The 27,111-nt window shown below is 43.0% G+C and overlaps 1 protein-coding gene and 1 long non-coding RNA gene across 9 annotated transcripts in view, besides 4 other annotated features; one reads left to right on the forward strand and one right to left on the reverse strand.

The window, feature by feature from the left end:
- PRKCQ (protein kinase C theta) overlaps positions 1–16,117 on the reverse strand; it is a 186,550-nt gene extending 170,433 nt beyond the window's left edge. For 4 of the 7 annotated variants that reach the window (NM_001323267.2, NM_001323266.2, NM_001282644.2 and 1 more), the window contains exon 1: positions 15,682–15,747. The gene's annotated coding sequence lies outside the window, so the exon portion shown is untranslated. Of the gene's footprint in view, positions 1–15,681; positions 15,773–15,971 lie in introns of those variants that run through there. The other 3 variants (NM_001282645.1, NM_001242413.2, NM_001323265.1) reach the window with 2 other exon arrangements.
- Positions 7,481–7,650: an enhancer, noted in NCBI's record as "experimental_14215 CRE fragment used in MPRA reporter constructs". NCBI's record gives its function as "activates a minimal promoter by MPRAs in K562 erythroleukemia cells, with activity observed for the introgressed 10:6614057 variant allele {active_cell/tissue: K562}" and the evidence as "EXISTENCE:reporter gene assay evidence [ECO:0000049][PMID:34662402]".
- Positions 15,749–15,998: a silencer, noted in NCBI's record as "silent region_2108". NCBI's record gives its function as "represses an Ori minimal core promoter by ATAC-STARR-seq in GM12878 lymphoblastoid cells {active_cell/tissue: GM12878}" and the evidence as "EXISTENCE:reporter gene assay evidence [ECO:0000049][PMID:35858748]".
- PRKCQ-AS1 (PRKCQ antisense RNA 1) lies at positions 15,896–20,832 on the forward strand. 2 transcript variants are annotated; one of them, NR_036502.1, is made up of 3 exons: positions 15,896–16,398; positions 17,609–17,672; positions 19,147–20,832. It is a non-coding gene; the product is annotated as a PRKCQ antisense RNA 1 (long non-coding RNA). The 2 variants fall into 2 exon arrangements; NR_036503.1 differs by lacking the exon at positions 17,609–17,672.
- Positions 16,009–16,158: a silencer, noted in NCBI's record as "silent region_2109". NCBI's record gives its function as "represses an Ori minimal core promoter by ATAC-STARR-seq in GM12878 lymphoblastoid cells {active_cell/tissue: GM12878}" and the evidence as "EXISTENCE:reporter gene assay evidence [ECO:0000049][PMID:35858748]".
- Positions 18,958–19,252: an enhancer, noted in NCBI's record as "tiled region #12587; K562 Activating DNase matched - State 5:Enh". NCBI's record gives its function as "activates a minimal TATA promoter and a strong SV40 promoter by Sharpr-MPRA in K562 cells {active_cell/tissue: K562}" and the evidence as "EXISTENCE:reporter gene assay evidence [ECO:0000049][PMID:27701403]".
- Positions 20,833–27,111: the final 6,279 nt, after the last annotated feature.

Here is a 27,111-nt window from a genome sequence, read left to right on the forward strand (position 1 = left end):
ATATGGAGGAAGACGGGGTGGGGGAATCTCAACCTCCTAGCTGCATCCACCCAGGGGCCATATAAGGGAGTGACCTCATCTCAGGTCTGACTGCAACCTTATGAGAGGGCCCTAGGGATGCTCTGAAGACCAAAACCGCCAAGCCAAGGCTGACCCAAATCCCTAGCCCACAGAATCAAGAACAAATACAATGGTGCTGTTTTTTTAAGCCACTAAGTTTGGGAGCAGTTTGTTCCATAGCAATTGATATCTTCAAAGCAATGCTCTGGGTCAAATAAACAATGTCAAATAAAGAATAAACTCCCCGCTGACAATTTCAGGACAATAGCATGGGTCCACTGTCAATATATACCCACTTGTACTTCATCCTTAATTACTTGCTACCAAATCCCATTTCAAGCCTTTGTCACACTTAACTGATTAGGGCTTAAGCTTTTTAAAAAGCGGTTTTCAGAAAATGTAATCCTCTGACTCTATCTTGCAAAAGACTAAGAAAATGTGGCATGTGGATTAAAATTCCCTGGAGTTTCGTTTGAATTTTCCTATGGGTAGTGTTTAGATGAACATTCAAGCAAATATACGTTTCACTTTTTGAAACTGCAGAATGTTTGATGCTTCTTTATAATGCGCCTTCTTAGCAGCATGGCTGGGTGTCTTGAGATAGCACAGTACTTGAATAAATAGTGTGATCTCTCTTTATGTTTACATATTTAGACCCATAGGTCTAGTCTATTTTTTCCATGAGAAAATATCTATAGTATTTTCCTGGAGAAAAGTGACTTTATTTTATTTCAATAGATACATATGCTCTCTGTTCTGAGTACTTCAAGGCTGTTCTCTCAAGAGAAGGGGTTTGCTTGCTGGTTTTCTTCTCTATGAAAATAATAAAATTCAAACATGATGCTATGTGTTAACATTTTCCTCTGCGAGCTCTAGCTATGGGAAGTTGCTAATGGTTGAGTTTTACTTTATTCATTTCTAAAAGGAAGTGCTCATTTATGCTTAGCAATGTTCGCCTTTTTTTTGGTGAAAGAAATTGCATTTATTTTATTTTAAAAAGAAACAAAAAGCCCTTTCTTCTTGTGATGCTTTTCTCTCCTAAAGCACTTTTAGTCGCAGATCTCAAGTGTACTACAAATATTAACAAATCTCCTTGTCCAGGAACTAGGGAAGAATCCCGGGAGGAAAGTCCTTTTCATTGCAATGGCAAATATTTCAGCTGCCTCTGCTTCAGAACTTGGAATTATGCAAGTTACTTCCCACTGAATTACGTTCCTCAAAAGTAATTGCAAAACCACAATTACTTTTGCAAACTAATATTTACAAAGTAGAGTAATTCACGTTCTTCCTATGCAAGAGTTATTTATGGCTACTGTTCATAGTACCCCTCTAAATAGGTCCCCAGTAAAATGTATGCTAATTTATTTTTATTGAATGACTAATGCAGATGAATTAAAGAGTTCCCATTCTTAGAGGGAGATTTCCTCTATTATTCACCATTACCTTATATTCCAGAAACATAGCCCACTGAGGAAATCCACTTGACCTTTTCAGAGAAACTTGGTTATCATAACCTTCCTTGTGTTACCATCCCCACTAACACTGTAGAACGAATCATGTTTTGCTGTTGCTACGGTATTAAATTTTAATTCCTCCTGTCCATAGCAAAGCTAATTGTAGCTGAATGACTCCCATGTTTGTGGGACTGCACTTCGGTTTATTGGTGAAGGGTTATACATGCCACCAGTGGTTGCATTCTCTGACCTACACTGGCTGTTCTGCAGTGGTTATGACAGGACACATTAACTACAGCCCTAGGAGCTTGAAATGTATCCACTTCTTTCCCACTCCAGCTGTCCAGGTGAAATCCTGGTCTGGATGCGAAAAGGACCCCTCAAAACAGCTACAAAATATTCGAATCAGGGGGAATCCTAGACATCCCCCTAATGCACTCAACCTTGTCTCCCAATTCCCACTTCTGGGATTTTTCAGTCCGACTTCACTGTTGGGTGGGTCTGGAAGGTGAGCATGACCCTGGCAGAGCAGGACTAGGTAGGGTGAATGACACAACGAGATTCAGTGGCCTCTCTCCAGTCTTTTCTCCTACAAGGGACAACCTCATGGGTTCCTAATATCCTTGTGTGCCAGCGACCACCTGTCCTCGATTACTGCAAGAAAACAGAAGAACAGAAAGATGGAGAGAACTCAGGAGGGGAGGAACACACTGATGACCAAGCAGACGACACTGGCCAGGAAGAAGTCAGTGCACCCAAGGGTTTCTAGGGAGCTGGCCCGGAACACTTCTCAGTCAGATCCCCTAAAACTCACCTTTAGATATGGACCCAAATCGGAGTGCTTAGGGCTCTCAATATTAATGATTAGGGCCTAAAATATGATATGAACGTTTGGAAACCTTCATATTGGTAACTGGAGGGAAATAAAATATATTCCCTGGCTACAGGAGGCCTCATGAACCTCCTCAATCCAAGGTTCCGTCTGAGCTCTGTGCTGAGAGTTAAAGAGAGAAAGAGAAAGAGAAGACTCGGTACATGCTCTCAGGCTTACTCAAGAGACAATAATTGCATTAAAATGTCATTAGGGAGCTCCACTAATGAGAAGGATAGAAGCCTCAAGCTCCCAGAGACACAGGAAGCAGAAAGTCAGTCCACACATCAGAGGCGACTTGGAAAAGCTCTAACACAATAGGACACTTAAAAAAATGCCAATTATATAGTAGGGGCAAATAGTGTTTCATGAACAGGACATAGGGATTCTGTTTGAGAAGAGGCCTCCATGAACAAAGACAGGGATATGCTTGGCCCTAAAGGGCCCACCATATCTTCCCATTTCTGAAAGGATAGCAGAACACACGGATGGAGATGCAATTTGGGGCCAGAATGCACAAGGTGCCAAGTCTTGCACAGTAAGACGCGTCACCCGAATTCTGCAGACAAAGATGAGTGTAGCTCTCTTCTCTACCCTTATCTGACCCTGTGCTTACATTCCTCAGGAGGGAAATGTCCCAGTGTTTTCCCTCTATGACATCCCTGAGGTCACCAAGGCCTTCTGGGGTACAAGCTGGAAACCTCAGCACTGGCTTTAACATTGTTTTAGCTGGGGTTTAGCTGTTGTTAGAAACCCATACATGTGAGTGCCCATTTTATTTTATTGCTGCTGGGATTTATTTCTAATCTTCTTTGAAAGATTATGTTTTTCTTTGGTTTCATAATGTTGGTTTATTCTACTTTTAAGTGAGTCCCTTAAATAGTTTACTACTCTTTCCTTTTAAGATAAACATTCTTTTTTTTGTGAATGCTTTCATTTATTTTGTTTTGGGCATACCTCTATCATCCTAATTCTTGAATTTAGTCTTTTACCTTTCTTACTCGTATCTATTTTAGTACATTTAAAAGTGATTATAGGCTGGGCGTGGTGGCTCTCGCCTGTAATCCCAGCACTTTGGTGGTGGCGCAGGGGGTTGGGAGATCATTTGAGGTCAGGAGTTGGAGACCAGCCTGGCCAACATGATGAAAACATGTCTCTGCTAAAAATACAAAAGTTATCCAGGCATGGTGCTGTGAGCCTGTAGTCTCAGCTACTCAGGTGAGGCGAAGGGCGGAGGTTGCAGTGAGCTGTGACCACGCCACTGCATTCCAGCCTGGGTGACAGAGCGAGACTCTTGTCTCCAAAAAAGAAAAAAACAAAACAAAACAAAAACAAAAACAAAAATCCCCCCAAAACTAACAAAAAAAATTATGATTTTGTTTTGAAGAAGACTTAAAATATCTTTTCATTTAATTTAAACAAAATTTTATCTTTTATCCTTTACTATTTTTTCTTTATTAAAATCACTTATGAATTTTTGCTATGTCTACATTTTATGTTTACCTGTTGCCTCATTCTTTTGCTTATAGAATATTTTTGAATATTTTAATATTATCTTTTATTTCCTGATCACTCTTAGCTTAACCTTTTTTTTTTTTTTTGAGATGGAGCCTTGCTCTGTCTCCCAGGCTGGACTGCAGTGGCGTGATCTTGGTTCACTGCAAGCTCCACCTCCCAGGTTCACGCAGTTCTCCTGCCTCAGCCTCCCGAGTAGTTGGGACTACAGGCACACACCACCATTCCTGGCTAATTTTTTTGTATTTTTAGTAGAGACGGGGTTTCACTGCATTAGCCAGGATGGTCTCAATCTCCTGACCTCGTGATCCGCCCACCTCGGCCTCCCAAAGTGCTGAGATAACAGGCGTGAGCCACCGCGCCCGGCCAGTTTAATCTTTTTTTTAATTATTGACATTACAGTGGTCCACAAAGCAGGATGCCAAGGGGATGATAAGGGGAAAAATCACACCATAGACAAGGGGAGATGGAGTCTTTGCAGCAAGTCACCTCCCGGAATTCTAAACATTTCCCACCCCCTTCAGCTCTGATTTCTGGTAGAATTTATCTAGATAACTCCAGAGGTCCACAGGCAAAATCTTCCAAGACAATAGTAATTCTGTTGTGCAGACATTTAAGTCACTAGATTGGGATTCTTTTCCTCTAACACTTAGCACACAGTACCTTGGGCATTACAGATTCTAAAATATATGACTCATTTATTTATCCCACTAATATTTACTGAGCACCTACTACGTGTCAGACACAATGCTGACTGCTAGAAGTGCAACAAAAAGAGTAAGAGAGAGTGTGGATCCAGTCCTCAGGGAGTGTACAATGTGGAAGAAAGCCAAGTCCTGATGTGGAGGATCAGGAAGAGCTTTCCAGAGGACAAGAGACATCTTGGGAGCTGAAGATGTACAGGAAGTAGCTCAGAGATTGAGCAGACGTCCACGAGATGAGGGGATGCTGGGACCTCCTAGGAGCTTAAAGAGGCTCAGACTTGGAGGAACCCGATGTGAGGGCTGGAGAGGAAAGGAGTAGAACCTTCGAATCCACATCAGGGAGGCTGGGCTTTATCCCGGGGGCACTGGGTAGCCTTTGGAGAACTTAAGAGCAGGGAGTGGCACACTGGGTTCCAGAAGGCAGCCCATGGTAACCACGGCTAGGGAGGAGGTTCCACACCAACCCAGAAGAGAAACGGTGCTGCCTGTAATTAGAGCAGAGGTGGTGGGAGTGTGACAGGCTGGAGGGAACACAGAGGAATTGGGGTGAGTGAATAAAATTGGTTTGGGGCAAGCTATGGAGATAGGGGAGACAGAATCAAGGAAAGACACACAGATTTCAGGTCGTGCAGCAGGTGATGTCTATGCCAGTTGCAGAAAAGAGCAGGAGGAGAAAACGTGTTGAAAGAGAAAGGGGAAGGTGGTGCATCCAGTTTGGGGCATGAGGCATTAGACGTGCCCAGGAACTTTCTGGGGAAGAATGGCAAGGATCTGGGGCAGTCATGACTGGGTCACAGTCAGCGAGGAGATAGGTATGGAGGCTGATGAGGGAAGAGGATGCTCACAGGGCGGGAAAATTGAGGAACATCAGTCATCCAGGTTGATAAAAGAAGAGGAGCTTGCAAAGGAGAAGAGAGGAAGGAAGGAAGGAAACATGGGCAGGGGGGTCATGGGAGACACAGAGGGACAATGTCCCAGGATGCATGTGTGCTCACGGCACATCTGGTTGCAGGAAGTCAGGTAAGAGGCGGGTAGAACTCCACGGGAATCGGCCATGAGGAGAGTGCGGGTGATCATTTCTGAGGGGTGCAAGAGGCAAGGCCAGGCATCTGTCGTTCAAGACATGTGGGGTGAGGAAGCAAAGGCAGCAAGTGTAGACAACAATTTGAGGAGTTTGATTGTGAAGAGAAGCAAGACAAGGAAGTAGCTGGAGGAAGGTATAAAAGGATATATATTCTTTTTTTCACAGAAGGAAGGGATTTAAGCGCACTTAATACAGAGAGAATGGGGCCAGAAATGAGGGAGAGAAGGAAAATGCAGGTGACAGGGAAGATAAGAGATTGAGATTCCCAAGAACAAGAAAGAAATGGATTCCAGGGCCCCAGGGGAGGTGAGCCTCAGACAGGAACTAAGGGGCTTCTTTTTTTTTTTTTTTTTCTAAGACAGACTCTTGCTCTGTCACCCAGGCTGGAGTGCAATGGGGCAATCTCGGCTCACTGCAACCTCTGTCTCCTGGGTTCAAGCGATTCTCCTGCCTCAGCCTCCCGAGTAGCTGGGATTACAGGTATGCGCCAGCACGCCTGGCTAATTTTTGTATTTTTAGTAGAGACGGGGTTTCACCGTGTTGGCCAGGATGGTCTAAAACTCCTGGCCTCAAGTGATTCACCCACCTTGGCCTCCCAAAGTGCTTGGATTACAGATGTGAGCCACTGTGCCTGGCTGGAACTGAGGGGTTTCTTTCGTTGTGAAAGAAAAGAAGGATGAGAGGATGGATTCAGATAAAGTGAGGCGTGCAGCCCTGTGATCCCCAGGTGGGGGCAGTTCTGAATCGGGAAACTTGTACTTTCTCAGGGAAGCAGGAGGCAAGACAGCTGCTGAGTGCGAGGGGACGGCGGAGGCAGGAGCAGCTGTGGAGAAGCTGCCGTGGGAAGGAAGATCATTGGCCAGGGAAACGTCTGGGAGCTGGGGAAGACAGAGATCCTAGATGGAGTGGGAAGTCACAGAGCTACGGCATCCTGAATTTGCAGAGCGGCGTGTTTTCCGGGAGAACTCATCAGCCTATGTGTAGACACTGGAAAAAGCAGACAGTTGGATTTAGCTGTGATCCCAGTGACCACAGAGGGGGCAAAGAAAGTGCATCATCTCACACAACATCACCAGGCGGTCCTTCCCCAGCAGCAAGGGAAACGCTTTAGTGGAGGGACAGTGGCCAAGTTTATATTTGTCAATGTCAAGCTGAAAGCTCTCTAGTCTGTATAATGAACACTATTTCTTCCTAACCTGTCTTGCTCTTTATGAAACTGATGGGTATATTTCAAAGTTTATAACCTTCCTAACAAACCAGGGACATGGTTGTTATTACATACTCCCCTTAAGAAAATATCTTCCCTTGATAGGTGGGGTGGCTCACACCTGTAATCCCAGCACTTTGGGAGGCCAAGGCAGGAGGATCACTTGAGGCCAGGATTTCAAGTCTAGCCTGGCCAACATGGTGAAACCCTGTCTCTACTAAAAACATAAAAATTAACCAGGTGTGGTGGTGCATGCCTGTAGTCCTAGCTACTCTCGAGGCTGACACAATAATTGCTTGAGCCTGGGAGGCAGATGTTGCAGTGAGCCGAGATTGAGTCACAGCACTCCAACCTGAGCAACAGAACAAGACCCTGCCTCAAAAACAAACAAACAAACAAACCAACAAACAAACCAAGAAACAAACAAACAGGAACCAGGTGTGGTCCTTCCCTAAACAGCCACCTAACTAACAAACTTTGGGAACACAGTCCCTGGAGGTATGGAAAGAATACCACCACATCAGAAGCCAAGAGATCAGGGGTCAGCGCTAGTAATTTAATCTGTGACCCTAGATCAAGTTTCTTAACCTGCACACCTCAGCTGGCTTCTCTGTAAGCTGTGAGACCCACCCAACATATGGGGCTTTCTGAATGACTGATTCCCGCGATCCAGGCCCAGGGCATGACCAACGACTGCCTTCCCATCGCTCCCTCTTCCTTCTAGCCCCTGAGCTCATCTGATTCTATGACTTAAAGGAATGGTATAGAAAACTAAATGCCATAGGTATGTAATTTTCTTTAATTTTTATTTTTATTTTAAGTTCTGGGATACAGGTGCAGGACGTGCAGGTTTGTTACATGGGTAAACGTGCCATGGTGGTTTGCTGCACCTATCATCCCATCACCTAGGTATTAAGCCCCACATGCATTAGCTACTTTTCCTAATGCTCTCCCTCCCTCCAATCCCACCTCCCGACAGGCCCCAGTGTGTGTTGTTCCCCTCCCTGTGTCCACATGTTCTCATTATTCAGCTCCCACTTATAAGTGAGAACATAAGGTGTCCAGTTTTCTGCTCCTGTGTTAGTTTGCTGAGGATGATGGCTTCCAGCTCTATCCATGTCCCTGCAAAGGACAGGGATCTCATTCCTTTTTATGGCTACATAGTATTCTATGGTGTGTATGTACATTTTCTTAATCCAGACTACCATTGGTGGGCATTTGGGTTGATGCCATGTCTTTGCTATTGTGAATAGTGCTGTAATGAACATACGTGTGCATGTATCTTTATAACAGAATGGTTTATATTCCTTTGGATATATGCCCAGTAACAGGAGTGCTGAGTCAAACGGTATTTCTGGTTCTAGATCTTTGAGGAATTGCCACACCATCTTCCACAATGGTTGGACTAATTTACATTCCCACCACCAAGAGTGTAAAAGCGTTCCTATTTCTCTGCAACTTTGCCAGCACCTGTTGTTTCTTGATTTTTTAATAATCACCATTCTGACTTGCAGGAGATGGTAACTGATTGTGGTTTTGATTTGCATTTCTCTAATGATCAGTGATATTGAGGGTTTTTTTTCCATGTTTGTTGGCTGCATGAATGTCTTCTTTTAGGTACGAACAGATTTAATGTGTCCCAAACCAAATGATACAGTTTCATGAAATAATTACCCTTCCTACATGAAATGCATCTTAATATTTTCTGTTTTATTCTATTTCATGCTTGTTATCACCCCCAAAATTAATGTCATTGCCCACTAGTAGACTGTGTCTTGGAGTTTGAAAAACTGTGTAGAAGGCCTGCTTTTGTATAGCTAAAACATATCAGTGAAAACAGAACGGAAAATGTTGAAGCTTATGCCCTAAAAATGCTGAACACAGCTGAGATGAACTTCTCTCAAAACGACAAGAACAACAACATTTCTGCTTACTTTCAGGACAGACTTGGCTCACCTCTGAACCCCTGTCCTTTTGGCTAATTCCCATACATCTTCCATCCCCACCCGCGATACCTTGTCCTCTGAAAGCCTTTCCTGAACCTCCGAATCAGGACTTGGTTCCCTTCTACATGTTCTCAAAGCACCCAAGCAATCATCTACATATAGTGCTTAGCACAGCAAACGGCCGATAGTGACAAGTCAATACATGTTAGAATATATTGCCATAGTTTGTTTACTTTTTGATTTTTCCAATAGATTGTACGCTTATTAGGAATTCTTGCCCACAGGGAAAAAATTTCAGGATGACAAGGATTCTGCTTCTGCAGATATTTAAACCACCAGATAGAAATTTTTTTCTTTTAACACTTAGCCGCAGTCCTTTAGGTGTTACAAGGTTAAAAAAAGAAAAACCCAAAAGATGTGTTCTTGATATCAGCTAACACTCCAGTTAAAGGCGAAAAGAGCTAGGCCAGGTGTGGTGGCTCATGTCTTTAATCTCAGCACTCTGGGAGGCCAAGGCGGGCAGATCACTTGAGCCCAGGAGTTAGAGACTAGCCTGGGCAACATGACAAAACACCATCTCTACAAAGTGCACAAACTAGCCAGGCCATGGTGGCATGCAACTGTAGTCCCAGCTACTCAGGAGGCTGAGGCCGGAGGATCCCTTGAGCCTCAGAGGCGGAGGCTGCTGTGAGCTGAGATCGTGCCACTGCACTCCAGCCTGGGCGACAGAGCAAGACCCCGTAAAAAAAAATGCAAAGAGCCAAAGAGCAGACCCCTGGCTGTCTTGTTGTCTTTCCCTCCTAGTTGTTCATGAATTAAGTGCCCAGTGAGGAGACAGCTGCCAACGTATAGGTGAGTTTGCAGTGCAAGCCGAGTGCTGTGAGTTCATGGGCAGGTAAAACTCTCTGAAACGCTGGAGAGAACCTGAATGGCACTTGTATACATTGGTAGATAAAGCATTTAAAGGGTTCCTCCTGTTCTTAGAAAAGGATCAAACTCCTTCGTATGACTTAACGCAGGACAACTCTACGGGACAGTCTGCCCAGGACAATCTGGGTTTGTACCTGTTACCCAAGCTTAGTGATTAATAACGTGCTCTTTCACTCTATAAACAGTCCCCATCTGGAGGATAACGTATATGGTTCACCTGCTTACAGGTCCTATGTGATCTGGCACAGCTGACTCCTCCAGCTCCACCCAGCAATAGCCCACACACTGGCACATGCTCCTTTCTCGCAGCATCACTGCTATCAGAGATCACAATTTTCTTCACTTTGCAAATGGAGAGAATGACACTCCAAGAAGTTCACTGGTTAAGGTCATATGGCAAATTAGGATGGGGAGCAGAGGTTTAAATGGAAGCTGTGATGCTTACTCTGCTCATTTCCACTCATCTGCAAGGCTTAGACTGGACTGCACTGGGATTCCAGACTCACATGCTGCAGGGACATTCTACAAACACTGTTCCTACCTCCCAGAACCCCCATCTGGCTCACTGCCACTTCCCCTTCAGGTCTCAGTTGAGCCGTCACTGACAGCTCTGCGACACCCCAAATCTAGCTGTGCACATAATACCAAGTGTGTCCCCTACTGAAACACACAATCATTCTGCACATATTTGTTCACAACTTGGTATGTGTCAGGCCCTGTTAGAGTGGCTGGGGACACATGTAGGGACAAAATGCCAGCCCTCATGGAGTTTCATGCTAGAGGAAAAAAGAGACAGAAAGGAAACTAGCAAATATAAAACAGAGTTGCATGACATTATAAACTGATACAAAATAGTACAAATATCTCATGAATTCATCACAATTCATTATAATTTCCTATTTGCCTGACCACATCTCCCTGTGGGTTTTGCAGCACGGTGTGTGATCTGAGGCTTGCAACAAAGGCCTGGTGAATTCAATAGCAGTTTCCCTTTCCATTCTCTCCATTGTCCTGGGAACTTGTCCTGCTCTGATAACATACAAAAGATAATTATATCTGTAACTAATCTTCTAAAAAGCATCTGTCCCACACATTCAGGGTTATTAACACTGATGCCATGTTCACTTTATTCTCAACAACTACTCATTTCTGAATCATAAGGTTCCTCATGGAGGTGGAGATAACCCTACCTACCGGGACATTCTGTTTATGTTTTAGGGACTGTCCTTTCCATGGCTTCCCTAGTCCCTCAGGTGCTGTGTGAGTTGTATTTCCTCCATTAATTCTACACTAGAAAAAGGTGTATATGCTCAAGCTGGGATAGGAAATAAACAATGAACTCAGGAGTAGCATCAGCCCAGAGATCCCTGCCATTGGGCATTCAATGATTGGGTAAAAAGTTAACTATCAGCACCTTACACCAATTAGAAAGGCTACTATAAAGAAGATTTTTAAAAAAGCCCAGGTGCGGTGGCTCACGCCTGTAATCTCAGCACTTTGGGAGGCCAAGGTGGGTGGATCATGAGGTCAAGAGATCGAGACCATCTTGGCCAACATGGTGAAACCCCATCTCTACTAAAAATACAAAAGTTAGCTGGGTGTGGCAGCGCGTGCCTATAGTCCCAGCTACTCAGGAGGCTGAGGCAGGAGAATTGCTTGAACCTGGGAGGTAGAGGTTGCAGTGAGCTGAGATCATGCCACTGCACTCCAGCCTGGCGACACAGCGAGACTCCATCTCAAAAAACACAAAACAAAAGACAGCGTTGCTGAGAATGTGGAATAATTGGGACCCTTTCTACCACTGGTGGGAATGTAAAACGGTCCAGCCACTGTGGAAAACAATATGGCAGTTCCTCAAAAAATTAAACATAGAATTACCCTACGACCCCACAATTCTACTGCTGGGTACATACCCCAAAGAATTGAAAGCAGGACCTCAAACAGATATCTGCGTGTTCCTCTTCACGGCAGCATTATTCACAATAATCAAAAGATAGAAGCAACCATCAACAGATACAAGGATAAGCAAAATGTGGTATATCCATAAATGGAATAGTATTCAGACTTAAAAAGGAAGGAAGTCCTGTCCAATGCTGTCACATGGATACAGCTTGAGAACACTATGCTAAGTGAAATAAGACAGTTACAAAAGGATGGATACTGTATTCTGCTTCTGTGAGGTCCCTAGAGCAGTCAGAATCTTAGAGACAGGAAGTAGAAGGGTGGCTGCCAGGGGCTGAGAGGAAAGACGGATGAGGAACGAATGTTCCACGAGGACAGAGTTTCAGTTTTAGGAGATGAGAAGAATCCTGTGGATGGATGATGGCAATGGTTGCAAAACAATGTGAATATACTTAATGTCACTGAACTGTACGCTAGAAAATAGTTAAGAAGTTAAATTTTAAGTTATGTGTATTTTAACCACAATAAAAAAGTTAACTGGTAGGTCACCTGGGACTGCGGTTTAAAGCAAATGCTTGATGGTTAGACTAATCTGGATGGTCCAACTAACCTGACTCTACCACTGACTGGTTATAAGACCTGGACAAGGGGCTCTACCCCTTGAGCCTCAGTTTCCTCATCTGAAAAACTGGAATAATAATAATATCTAATTTATAAAGGCTTTTGGAGGTTAAATGAAGCAGTAATGCCTCTTACATATAAATAAAATTCTGAGTATGATATACAGCACATAAATTCTAAATAATAAAGACTCAAAACCATATTTCATTGGTTTTGTTGATGCTGATTATTATTATTATAATTAATACTATTAGCTTAATTCAAAAGCTAACATCAACCTACAGCAACCTGCAGAAAGATGTCCTGCCAAATACTTGCTAATTTAATCCAGGAGCAAAAATCTATGATTCTGGGCTTGAGTGAGCTTTCCTAATTTTAAAACTCTGATGCTCATTTTGTCCCCAAGAATGTGTTTAGATGACAGAGCAATCAGAATTTGACATGTATAAATGCTTGGCATGTTAAAATAATGAAAGATATTTTCACCATTGTAAGGAAACAGCTTTTAATCCATCTCTCTGGTTCAACATCACATTTTTCTATAGTTTCTCATGACTTCTTCCTTAACAATTGGAATAGGTATGAAAAAGCTGAGCTGAACACATAGCTGCTTAGAAATGAGCTGCTTAAAGTGTTAAAACAACAGAAACAGCAAGCATGAGTTTAATGCTATGTATGCCGTCACAATACTAATTTCTCTATTTTAAATTACAGATTACACACACACATACACACACACACGGAATCACGTCTATATTGCTGGGATTTTCATTATATAACAATATATCATTTTAAATGATTTGAGGCAAATTATTGAAAAAAATTAAAGACTGAACTCCATAAAAAGGAAATCACCTGAAATCAAATATAACCTTGTTAACAAACCAGCACATTAGCAACATTTTTAGGGGCAACAACATAATCAGCAACTCTAAGACATCAATCAAATGCATTAAAAACAGGAAGTACTAACTCTAATTCCTAATTTCCAGAAAGGCAAATATACCATAATTAAATAACACGTTATAAGGAGATTTGTCTGTGTAGGTCTACTTCTGAATCCCCGAAGTTACATACTTGTACCACAAGCCCATACTCTTGAAAGAAAATTCTGGACCCAGTCCACATGGAATTTTGGTTAAAACATCTAATTCATTGCAGAGAAGAATTTAGTCTTTTCCACGGAAGAGACAGCATGTGTTAGAATGAGAATACTTTATAGAAATGACCAGTGACAAGCCGGCTATGTAAGGGGGCTTCTGATGCCTGGCGTTAACAAGAGACAGAGAGTATTATTGTTGAAAGGGATCTTTGAGATTACAGAAGGAGCTGAGGTGTGAATAATCGAACACCATCCCCTTGTTGCCTGAAGGAGAAGTGAGACAGCAAAACAAATCAAATTTCCAGGAGCTGCACCGTGTATGGTGAGCGAAGACGCAATGAGGACATGTCTGTAGGAGAACAGAGGTAGAAGTTAGCTCCTCAAGTAACAGTTGCCATCCCGAGGCACCACAGCACAAGACAGTAGCGGAAATGAACATGACAACGCGGATGGTGGGTGACAAGAGTCTTGCCTGGATATTGACATTTTTAAAGTGTAGAAGAAAATCGCAGGTCACTGAAACAAAGGCTGATGGTGCCCAGCAGGTTACTCTTGAAATCAGAAACAGAAGTTCATGAGAGGCAAGAAGACAGAAACAACAACTGAAAAACTTAGAGTGGATCGCTAACTTGCAGGAGCTGTGCAGCTTTGGCTTTGCAGGTTTTAGAAGCTCTCCCTACGCCACGTCTTTAAATATATGTATGTTCAATCAGCAGGAGGAAGGGACTAACAAGAGCCTTCTGCGGTAAGCACCTGCATCAAACAATGGCACTGATCTCAGAGGGATTTTAAACAGCTGTGCATAAACTTCAAAAGTAATTTGCAACCATATTAGTAAATGTCACTCTTCTTCCCGCTAGACACAGCACTTTTAAAAGAGATTAAGCATCCGCAGTAAGCCTGCCATTTTACAAGGGTTACCAAAGATAAGTTAGGGAAAATATGAAGATGATGATTCACAAGGTCGGGGTGTGGGGTGGGGTGGGGGACCCAGGACCTTAGGAATAGGGCTTGTCTATCACACAGCCTCGGGCAAGAAGGGCCCAGTGGGGACCATGGCTTCTAGGGAGCAAACCAAGGGAAAAGAGCAACGGAGTGGACCCTCCAGGCTTCTTGCCTCTCTCACGGAGCCTCACGAATCCCAGTGGTTTAGAATTTTCTTTGGCAAAAGAAAAGGTCAAAGAGGCCGGAGTTGACAGAAAGCATGGGCGGACTTCTCAGATCTTGTAGGTGGTTCTTAAAAGAATTCAGCAGGCTTGAGGTGTGCTCTCAAAGGGCAACTGGAACGTCAAGGACTTGGACACCAGGCACAGATGGTTCATTTCCCATGGACAGGAAGAGGGCACGGAGTGCTCCCTCTTCCCTCCACCTTCTCCAGCCTAGTCCCCCTCAGCCTGTGCCACTCCTGAATCATCTTTTATAGCACCACGTCCAGCCCGCACAGGGGCAGGACAGCCCAGGGAACAAGGCAGTCCTGTGGCGCTCTCCTTGCAGAAATGACCGGAGTCTCCCAATCCAGCCAGCCCGTGGACCTCTCTTCATGCCCACGGGGGAGTGCACACGCCTGTAGCATTCAACAGTCACTCTCCCATTGATAACGGTGGCTCTCGAAAATCCAATACCACAAAGATACTTTATTGCACAAACTTTGCTTGGTTAACCTGGCCCTCAAAGCTGGGGAATAACCTCACTTGAGGCTACAGGAATGAGCACGCAGATTTTTCTTTTTTTTTTTTTTTTGGTATCTTTCAAAGACCTGCCTCCCCCTCCCCCAGGCCCTTGACCAGAAACTTGGCTTGTTTAGAAGCCTGAGCAATGGCACCCCCGTCCGTGCTCCAATACATTCCCAGAAAAGGGGTTATGCTCCCCTGTGGACAGGATACCATCTCCAGAAAACATGTTTCCTCACGCATTTTTTTTTTTTTTTTTTACCAAGAATACAAAAACTTTCCACCTTCTTCCCTCCCCGCAGGCCCCCTTTCGTTCAGGTGAGAAGGAAAAGGGAGAAGAAAGGAGGAAGCGCCCCCAGGCCGGCGGCCCCCACCCGGCTAAGGTCGCCAGCATCCCGCATCCCGTGCGACCTGCGTCCCAGAAACCCAGCGGGGAAATTCTTCCCGGTGCGCTCTTGCGCCCGCTTGGTTCCATTTCCTACTCCGCCTGCTCACCCGGCAGCCCTCACCCCTTCCCGGAGGCTCTCCGAGGGGCCCGGGTAGCCCTTCTCGCCACGGGTCTCGGCCCCTCCAGCCCGCTCCCTCCCGGCGGCGGCGCGGGGCGCGGGGCCCTACCTGGAGCGAGCACGGCGCCGCTGCTGCCCGGTGGCGCTGGGACTGCGCGGGGACTGCGCGGGGACTGCGCGGGGACTGGCGGGGCTGGCGGGGCTGGCGGGGCTGGCGGGGCTGGCGGGCCCGGCGCACTGCGGGTGCGCCTAGAAGGCGGTGCCCGCCAGGGGGCGCTCGCCAGCCTCCCCGCCAGCCCGGCCTCCCGGGACCCGGCACCTCTAGCCAGGGACGCGCGCTCGGTCCCCCGCCGTGCGCCCCCGGTCCCGCGCCCAGGCTCCCGCCCCTGGCCTCCTTACCAGCCACTTGTCGCCCAGCTGCGAACTGGAGCGGGAGGCGGCGGCCGGAGGGCCCAGGACAGCCCCGGGAGGGCGGCGAGGCGGAGCAGGAGCGCCCCGGCTCCGGCCACATTCTCAGAGTCAGGAAAAGGGGCGAGAGGCCACATGTCTCCCTCTCGCCCAACTGAAAACGAAACGGCGCTCCAGCAGATTGGGTGGAAAGAGCTGGGTCTCTTTTCTCTGTTTTTCACGCTAGAAAGGGCTTGTAAACATTGTTCCTTTTAAAATGACCTACCCCAGGCATTTGTTTGGGCACACTTCTGTCCTGGGGTCATCGTTCCTAGGTGGCTTCGGACCTGGGACTTTTCCTGTATCTGCACATTGTCGTTTTATACACAATTGCCAAGGTGGGACTGCTTTCAACTTTACTGTGCTTGAAGCTGCAAAGGTAATGTTGCCGCCGTGCGTGTCATTTTAGGACTTTTTATGCCTTGCGGGTAATACTAATGATGGTCACAGGGAGGATAAACGGGGTGGTTTCTTTTTCTATACTCCATGTAACTAATTTCTCATTCAGGTTAGAAAATTATATGTCTGGTTACTAATATTCTTACTGAATGGTTTCCTTGCAATGATGACACCAAATAATTAAAACGTACTTGATTAAGACTTTTGTTGCTGTAGTGTACTAAGATCAGATTAATCTGAGAAGTAAAATAGTAATTTTTTGTCCTTTTTTCTTTTCTTGTTTTGAGAGAGACATTAAAAACGATTAAAACAAAACAAAACAGGCCAGGTGCGGTGGCTCATGCCTGTAATGCCAGCACTTTGGGAGGCTGAGGCGGGTGGATCGCTTGAGGCTGGGAGTTTGAGACCAGCCTGGCCAACATGGCAAAATCGTGTCTCTCCTAAAAATACAAAAATTAGCTGGGTGTTGTGGCACGTGCCAGTAATCCCAGCTACTCAGAAGGCTGAGGCAGGAGAATCGTTTGAACCTGGGAGGAGGAGGTTGCAGTGAGCTGAGATCTCACCACTGCACTGCAGTCTGGGTGACAGCAAAACTCTGCCTCAAAAAAAAAAAAGGTTTAACAAAAGCCAAAAGTTGAATTAGCAGCCTTCTGATCATGGGAATGTAGGATGTCAACTAAAAAGAACCTCAGAGGTTGGGAAGGCAGATGAAAAACTGAGGCCCCGAAGTGTTTCAAGACTTGATTAAATCACTCAGGTCTGCACTAGGAAGCGAGTTATGATGATGCCCCTAATCTATATGAACCCAAATAAAGCCAAAACACACACACCTTTTAAGGATAAAACTATATTCCATTAAAATTAGCCCCGCATTTGTCAATATCTAACAGCATTGGACTGACCCTCAGGCCAGAGGCTGTAGCTCTTGGAAGATCCTAGCCAGGAGGTTTGAGAGTGGCCAGTACCTCGGAAGTGCTGGCTCACTCTGACATCATCAGAACCTGGCATACAGTAGGCGCTCATTGGGTATTTGCTATGGAAATTAGGCAGGAAAGTGCGTCTGTGTCTGGAAACAAAGAGGCAAAGCTTAAGCAGTGATCCCCATGCAGATTCTTTCTGCAAACTACAAAACAGAAGCTTCCCTAGTTCAGACTGCCATCCATCTGGCTCTTTCTCCAATTGTTTTTCAGCGGATCCTGTTACAGTGCAAAGAAGAAATGGCAAACGGATAACAGCTACTGTGCCTAGAAGATGGTAGATTCCTCACGCTCCATATCTGGGTTTCTCATTGACAATTAGGCACTGAAAGGAAGCTCATATGTCCTGTTAATTTAATCAGTAGTTAGTGGCTTTAGAAAAAGTTTCATATATACACCAGGTATGATAAGGACTTTTTTTTTTCTTTTTGAGACAGAGTCTTGCTGTGTTGCCCAGGATGGAGTGCAGCGGCGTGATCATAGCTCACTGCAGTTTTGATCCCCCAGGACTCAAGTTATCCTCTCACCTCAGCCTCCCAAATAGCTGGGACTACAGGCACACATCACCATGACCAAGCTAATATTTAAAAAGATTTTTTTGTAGAGACGGGGTCTCACTATGTTGCCCAGGCTGGTTTAAAACTCCTGGGCTCAAGTGATGCTCCTACCTCAGCTTCCCAAAATGCTGGGATTATCGGGGTGAGCCACCATGCCCAGCCTGTGATGACTTTAGACGCACTACTCATATAATATTCATAATCTGATGTGATATGTATCATCATCATTATCATCTCTCTTTAACAGAAGAGACTAACAAGGCTTAGAAAGGTTATGTACCTCGCTCAAGATCCCACAATTACTAAAGTACCAGAACCAAGATTCAAACCCAGGTCAGGCTGGAGCCACCATCTCAAGAGCTGCTGAATAATTAATTCTCCTTTTTTTTTTTTTTTTTTGAGATGGAGTCTTGTTCTGTCACCCAGGCTGGAGTGCAGTGGCACAATCTTGGCTCACTGCAACCTCTGCCTTCTGGATTCAAGTGATTCTTCCTGCCTCAGCCTCCTGAGTAGCTGGGATTACAGGCATGTGCCTGCCACCATGCTCAGTTAATTTTTGTATTGTTAGTAGAGACGGGTTTCACCATGTTGGCCAGGGTGGTCTCGAACTCCTGACATCAGGTGATCCGCCCACCTCAGCCTCCGAAAGTGCTGGGATTACAGGCATAAGCCACTGCGCCCAGCCAATTCTCCATTCTTACATCGTACACTCAGTTTTCTCTTTCTTTCTCTTTTGGACAACTGATCTTTGAGGACTCTTGGCTACTCAATTGTCCTATAATCGTATAGTCCTACAACAGGAAACCCGTTAACCTGAAGATCAGATCTTTTAAAACAACATCCATCATATATCTACAAAATTGGGATTTTTTTATCGTAAAATTTCATCTAAAACAAAAAATTCACATCTGTTCTTGGTATCCATTAGGTGTAGTGGACACCTCTAGATATTCTTGATGCCAGCATCCTGTAGACCCGCCATCTCCTTTCCCAGGCCATGGGGTGTTTCTGTTTTCTATTAGACACTGTCTCTTAGTTATATAAACGTGGCTGCTCTCAGAAGTTCTCCACACCTTTGTTTCCTGGAAGAGGAAATGGCATTTCCTGGAGGGGATGACACGTGGGCGGTGAGGTTCCACTCACTACGTTAAACACACCCTAACTTTCAGCTGTGTACTTCTTTTCCTCTTTCAGGTTCTGCCCTGATGTTTCCTGGAATAATGCTGAGGACTGCCTTTCGGGTAGCCGCCCTATTCAGTTCACTTCATCTCGGAAATACCTGACCCCTGCCTTGGATCCAGCGGCCCTCCTGAGAGCTGAGGAAGGAGGAAATCCTATGTGTCTGCTCCCGGAGCTGCCACAACCCATCTTCCCACAACTCGGAACTTGGAAAAAGGAACCCAGGACACGACTTTGCTTTTCTTTTGGACCTAGTTGGTGATTATACTCTGTCTCCCATGGAGACCACGTCTTGCATCCTTCCTTCTATATGGGATTTAGGATAGAAATTAAAAAGAAAACATATTATTTTGAGTCTTGATTTGGAGAAAGGTAGTATTCAGGAGGAAGTAGGCTATGATACACATAGAAAATTTGAGGACAGTGTTACTTAACAAGGACATTTCTGTCTCTGCAGAAGTCACAGCTTGGAGGAAACCAGTTTGCACTATTTGATGAGGAATTTGGCCACCAAACCACTGATACTTTCCCAAAGGTTTGGCAGAAATTGTTTTTTGAGTGGCTCACCAGAGTACCCAGAAGAATCAGTATGGAATTAGAGGACAGTGGCCTACCCTAAATAAAGACATGAGTGATGTATAAAGTCTAGTGTCAATTTATTCAGAAAATATCAAAATTATTCTGGGAGCTATGGGTCAAAGTTGATAGGCACAAACAAACAAAAACGAAAGGTATTTTAAATTCACAGCTTGGATAAGTAAAAGGGAGATGTTGTCATTTCTCTTCTTCAATCCAACTTTAGATTTTCAAGCCGGAAAAAGGGTAATTAGAAGTTAGAAATTGTTATTGCCAGAAAATAGCTCTAAACCCTGAAAAAAAAAAAAAAAAAAAAAAAAACTGACCCTCCTCTTGGGGAGTGATAAACCTCAATTACTGTTGATAGTAAAACTGATATCAACTCTTCGAAACCAGTGAAAGGTGAATGGAAACCTTACCCTAGGTTAAGGTTTAAAAAATGTTCATAATATATATTTGAAAGTTCCATTATTTAAAATATTCATTAGACATGCTTTGTAATGTTAAGTTACTTCAAAAAATCTTACACAAGGGAAGGGAAGTATGTATTATTCCTTCATTTAAGAGAAAGATAATGTGTGAATATTAGTTAATATTTATCGTACATTTACTACCTGTGTCGAAGCGTAGTGTTACACACTTAATTTCAATTATTTAATTTGATTCTAACAATGAATCCCCTGAGATGGATAATATCCTCTTCATTTTACAGATGAGACAATTGAGACTTAAAGGTTAAACAAATGATTTCCTAAGCTCATTCAGCTAATAAACGGTAGGGGACTGCTTGACACCAGTCCAGTTGACCCTCAAATCCATGATTTCTGCCACCATATTCACAGAAACAAGACAAGAGCTGAAAATATAGCCTGACTCTTGAAACAGTCAAAGAATTGTGTATGTTTATGAAAGTTCTGATTAATAAGATATTCTGAGGACAAAAGACAAGGCATGGGTAGAGGGGCAATGTGTAGATTAGAATGTATCACAATGCCCACTAAATAGTAAAACCATAGAAAATGAAATTTAATCCTTACTGTGTAGAATATTTAGAGTAGATTGTTTTTTCCTCGGTGTCAATTACTATTACAACTATCAAAGAATGAAATTAAACAAGAAACGGTTCCTTTGGTTTTTTTTTTTAAAGGTGGGAGTTATAAAAACAGTATTTGCCATCTGGTTTTAGTTATGGCTGTGGAAATTCTATGGGTACAATTTGTTGTCATTGTTGTTACCACTACCAATACAGAGATGCTAATTGTAACATCAGTTTCTAAATCAGATAGTGAATAATTACATTTTCAATGTTTTCTTAACATAGATACAAGTTAACAGGATATGCTTCTGGCCTGTTTCTGGATTCTAAGGGTAGAACCAGCATAAAACTAGTCAGTCCAAGTATTTCTAAAGATCCACAGACACAGTTCTCCTGGATTTGGGAAGCCTAGAGATATTAGCACAATAATTAAGGCCCAAGTGAGTATAAAATTTTATCTGAAATTGAAGAGATATTGATTAGATAATCCACAGAGACTACTTTTTAGTGATTATCTTCCACCAGGGTAAAAGCAACAGCAGCCTGAAAATGCAAAAGACCATACATTTTAATGGTAAGTCCTCCCCAGGAAGGATTAATAAATCTCAGGAGGAAGATTTATTATCTGTAAATCCAGGAGGAAGAAATCAAGATGAAAACTATCATATTTATAAATTTGATTGTTGCAATTTTATAGTTTGACATAGTGCAATTGCTTTAGATTTGAAGGGGAACTTACTTTAGAGTAAGTCACTCAATCTCTTTTTTGGAAAGGCAAATGCCACACCTGATCCTCATCACTCCCTTCTCCTTTGTCCATAGCCTGGCTTTATTCTGCCATTAACACACACACACACACACACACACACACACACACAAATTGGGAAGAGGATTTCTCATTTTACAGAAAGTATGCTGGGCTACACAGGATATTCTATCAGGTTTCTTCCAGCTATAAAATTCTGAGACTAAATATCAAATTAAAGAAAGTACTAATTGTCAGCGATGGGGGATGTACTGCTATTTGCTTCTAGTGGTACTCACTGCTCATTTCCTATATTCACTGGTATAAAAAAATTTCAAACACCCTCAAAAAAGCCTATACTGGTGGTACCAGGAAAACGCTGAAAATCATTACTTTCTGTGTGGTGTCCAGCTCTTTTGGTTACATCATCACTTCGACCATTCACTTTTAAAGAAAAACTTTTGTGGAACAAAAATATAAAGATTTATTTTTTTTCTTGGTGGCTTAGCACAGTGGCCTAATGTGGCTGACCATGTGCACCTGTTGTGTGAGTCACTTAGACGTGCTTTGTTTCTTGGTCACAGTTGATCCCTCAACTCAAGCATCTCACCCTCAAAATGTTTGTTTGGGACCCAAGAGGCAAACCTTGAGATGGGTTATTTCTTTCACCTTGGATTGGCTCATCTGCTGGGAGTGGAGCCAAGCTGACATTTCCTTTCCTTTTTGTCTGCCTATCACTACGTAGAGGCAGCACATAAGAGAGGGAAAGCCATGCGCGTGGAGTCCAGCACATCACCCAGAAGGCAGATGTTCTATCTCCATTTTACTCATTAAAACAAACAAAACCACACCTGGATTGCCTGGTACTTAAATAAAATGCACTATGATGATTGAAGAAAAATATCTTATATTTAAGGAATAGTTTTAATAGCTTACATCTGTATTTCTATTAGCTTCCGTTTCTATTTTTAATATTTGTATAATATTAAAAGTAATTTTAAAAATGAACTAATCTTTTTACATCTCTTATGAGAATTTAATGGAGATATGATGTTTGAAGATCAAAGATACGTGGTATTTGAAATCAGAAAATGTGTTTGCTTTTCTACACAGATTACAAATATCATGCATTATTTCACAAACTCTTCTCAAAGTGTTGATTTTAAAATTAGTAAAAGGAGGGTATATTCATATCACATCCTGGCATTTTTATAGGCAAGATTGAGCAGCTATAACCTCTAAAGTGCTTTGATCCCTATAAGCCTCAAGAAGAGAATGGTGCAATTTGAATTAATAACTACCCATTATAGAGCATTTGTATCACAGTATTTTCCAAATACTATCTTATTTAACCCTACAGCAATCCTATGATATGGGGATTATGTACACATTACAGATGAGAACTTGAGGCTCGGAGAAAGTAAATAACTTACACAAGATCACAAAGCAAGTGACTGCCAGAGCCAGGATCAGAACCCAGTCAGGCTTCATTAGGAGCTCTGCTGAACTCTGTCTAGAGAATTCTCACCACCTGCTGCAAAGGCTAAAAGAAAGGGTCATATTCCACATGTAGATTTTGAGAAATATTTGTTATTTTTCTTATGATAAAGGTTATGCATACACACTCACACACACACACACACACACACAACTAGAAATTACAGAAAAGAAAAAAGATTAGCCAGAATGTCACCACCTAAAGACAGATAATATTTTGGTGTTTTCAAATATTCTTTTATCTATACTTTTTTGAATTATTTTATTTTAAAAATAACTTTTACTGGTTGCCTGATTATGAAGTAATAAATATTCACCATAAATATTTTGAAAAATATAAAACTGTCTATAAAAGAAATTTGAAATGATTGCTAATCTCAAAATATAGATACCTGTCAGTACTTTGGCATTTTATCCTCCTTGTGGCTGAGGTCACATATCTTGAGACTGAAGCACAAAATTTCTATACCATACAGTTTATAGTTTAGGCCACAACATCATTTTTAAAATTGTTTCTTTGGTTTTTACTTGATTTGCTGATGTTTTATTTTTTAGAAAATTGCAGATGTGATTTTTAGGCAGCTGATTGGAATGTTCTGGTTGCTCTGAATAGGACTAGCTACTTTGTTTTTTACTGAAGGACAAATATTATTCCTACACACATAAAAAACCTCAAAGAATGAGTAATGATACTGTTTAAATCTGCCCTTATAACTCCAAAGAATGACTTCAAATTTTCTTTCTTCCAAAGCAACTTTTAAAAGCCTTTCCACTGCACAGTGAAAGAAAACCACAAACTCCTTGTTTAATAAGTGGGATCACGTGCTTTTAACACGAGGAAAAGGTCAATCTGAAGCAACTGATATGGAACTGCCAGAGTAGGTACGTAAATTTAGGAGTTACATCAATTTGGGAGGGCTGCAGAAATGTGGATCAGATTTTAATCACACTGAGGAAGTTTCTTTGAGCAAAAGACGTGATGGTTGTTCTCTAGAACCTTTCTGTCCTGTCCGTTGCTTTGCCAAGGGAGCTAGAAAAGAAATAAACATTTAAGAACTTAAAAGGCTTCTGGATAAAACTCAGCTTGGTGCAACACATTTTAGCTATCACAGCTTTACTCCCAAGCTTCCACCTTTCCTAGGAGCGCAGTAAAAACCTGAGCCAAAGAAACCAAACAATAGAACTGAAATTCTTTAAACTTGAGTTCTTGAGGTTATAGTCTTTGTGCACTCCATAAAGTCAAAGCCCTAAAAAGATTTTTAGAAAACAAAACACTTGTATCTGTATCTATTTCCCCAAACCTCTCTACATTTACTTACCTTTTGCAGACTCATGCTTTCTCTTTTCCTTGTGATTGCATTTGGATAGAATGAAGACCTCTCCTACAGTTCTCAACTTAAATTCTTTCTTTTATTTCTTAGCTACGAAAGAAAATTCAAAAAATTCAATGCTCTACTTTGTAACTCCCTGGACATAGTGAGTCCATTATGTACATCATGAGGAGGGAGTGGAGAAAGTGGAATTCTTATGTAAATTCATACAGCTTTGGAAAATGGTTTAGCAGTACCTACTAAAGCTGAGCATATGCAAAACCAGTGACCCAGGAATGTCATGGGTACATAACCTACAAAAATGTAGACAGATGCGCTAAAAGACATGTACAACATGTTCACTGCAGCCCAGTTCATCATCACCCCAAAGTGGAAACATCTCAAGCGTCCACCAGCTGGAGGCTGCACAATAAAACTGTGGTACTTTCGTCGGTAGAAACATGCCACAGCTTGAACACACGCTGAAAACATAACGTCAAGTGAAAGAAGCCAGGTCCCAAAAAAAGACATACTGTATGATTGTATTTACATTAAGTCCCAAAACAGGTAAACTGAATTCATGCAATGGAAAGTCATGAGAGTAGCTACTGCATCTGGGGAGGCAGGTGGTGGAGTGCCAGGGAAGGAGCACCAGGATGGCTCATGGTGCTATTTTTATGACTTGATGTAGGGGATAGGTAATAGGTAGGTCCACTTTGGAAAAGTTCATCTAGCTGTGTATTTGTGACTTGCAGTCTTTTCTGCATGTGTCAATTCCAGTAAAAAGATTACTTGAAAATCAAGTATAATATTATTGTATTTACAAAGCCCTTTCTACGTAGCCAGAAACAGGGTTGGTTTCCCAGGTGACTGAGAGGTCGTCAGGAGCTTAGTGAGTGGAGGGCAGGGGACAAGTGTGTTCATTCTCTCTCCCTCTCTCTCTGCTGTTCTGTAAGGTGACAAGTTAGGCTTACTGCCAGTGTGACCTTAAATAAGCCATGCATGCTTTCTGAATCCTTTTTTCTTATTTGGTGAGTGACGTGCTAGTTAAAATGGTGTCTCCAGCCCTTTCCCGTCCTCGCTGCTGTGATTCAAGCCCCCTCCTTCTCTGTGGGGCTTCCTCCGACCTCTCGATTTCACTGTCACCTTTCTCTCTTCCTCTCTCTCCTGCTTCCTCCCTGTCCACCCCCATCTCTGTCCCCCCAGGGCCGAGTTTGTTTTATATCTCTTTTGGTATCTCCTCTGGTTTTCTGGCACCATGTCTTACGTAGAGCAAATAATAATGCTTTAAAAAATTCTCGATAAAGGAAAAAGTTCAGTAAAGTGTGAATTTCACATTGTAGTCAGTGGTTAAATGCCTCAAACACTTAAAAAGTAGAATTTATCTCAACCTGGGCAGAAGGCAGTCCATGCCAATTTCTAAATGGAATCCAATAGCAAGAATGCACAAAGAACAAGCAGGAGTGGTGAGGATTTCCTCACTCTGTCCCTCAGAGGTGGCGCGTCTCATCTGTGAGGTGAAAGTGTCATCACGTCATTGACATAAAGTATAAGTACAGGGAACATAATCATCTGGGAGATTTTAATTTGAGTTAATAAGAGATGAGATTTTCAGGCTAAAAGTCTTGGGGCTGGACAAAGAATATTTAAAAGGAGGGTTGGTGGATAAAGAAACTGTGGTATATTTATACGATGGAAGACTACTTGGCCATAAAAAGGAATGAATTAACAGCATTTGCAGTGACCTGGAGATTGGAGACTATTATTCTAAGTGAAGTAATTCAGAAATGGAAAACCAAACATCATATGTTCTCACTGATATGTGGGAGCTAAGCTATGAGGATGCAAAGGCAAAAGAATGATACAATGGACTTTGGGGACTTGGGGGGAAGGGTAGGGGGCGGCGAGACATAAAGACTAGAAATATGGTGCAAAGTATATTGCTTGGGTGATGGGTGTACCAAAATCTCACAAATCACCACTAAAGAACTTACTCCTGTAACCAAATACCACCTGTACCCCAAAAACTTATGGAAAAATAAATAAAAGAGGGTTGGATGATAAGAATTTGTCATCTTGTTTTCTGAATTGTTCAATTGTACTTAATTGTACTTCTTTCCTTAAGGAGTTGAAAATCTTCCTAAACTGCTGGAGGATACACCTCTGATAGCTTGAGACAAATATCCTCTTGATCATTGTTTCACCATATTTGTCTTTGCTCATGGAGAACCATTTTGATCCGTGGTTTAGCCTCCCAGGTGATTGAACAATACCGGTGATCTGAGGCAGACCCTCTGTGACGGATAACAGGTGAGTCTCTTGCATGTTTTTGCATCATGTACTGATTACCCAGACAAAACTGAGTTGGCACAGCTGCTAAATCCAGGATCAAGTGCTGGGATAGTAGTCATTCAAGGAGGAGGTGTCCTGAGGGGCTCATCCCTCAGTAGCCAGCTGTGCCCAGAGCAGAGAGGGGCACAGGGTGACAGAGTGAGGCAGGCAGAGGAAGCCGCACATGGCCAGGTGGGAATGGACATCAGGCTCCTGACTGCTCTCCTCACCCAGCTACACCTTCAGCTTTTCACTGGCAGACACCTGTGGCTGCTGAGATACCATCCCCTCCAGTGAGTCGGCTGGCAATTAGCTTATGGTCCTAAGGATATTTCTGGTGTTGCTGAGAAAGTCAGAGAAATAGAGGAAAATGTCAAGCTATGCTTTTAGAAAAGAGTAGATGTTAACTTGTTTGGCTTCTGACTCTCAGCCTTAAAGAAACATGTCACCTTCTTCCTCACCTGTAACGGCAACAAATCCTCGTA

Source organism: Homo sapiens, chromosome 10 (assembly GCF_000001405.40).
Source record: "Homo sapiens chromosome 10, GRCh38.p14 Primary Assembly".
Lineage (NCBI taxonomy): Eukaryota > Metazoa > Chordata > Mammalia > Primates > Hominidae > Homo > Homo sapiens.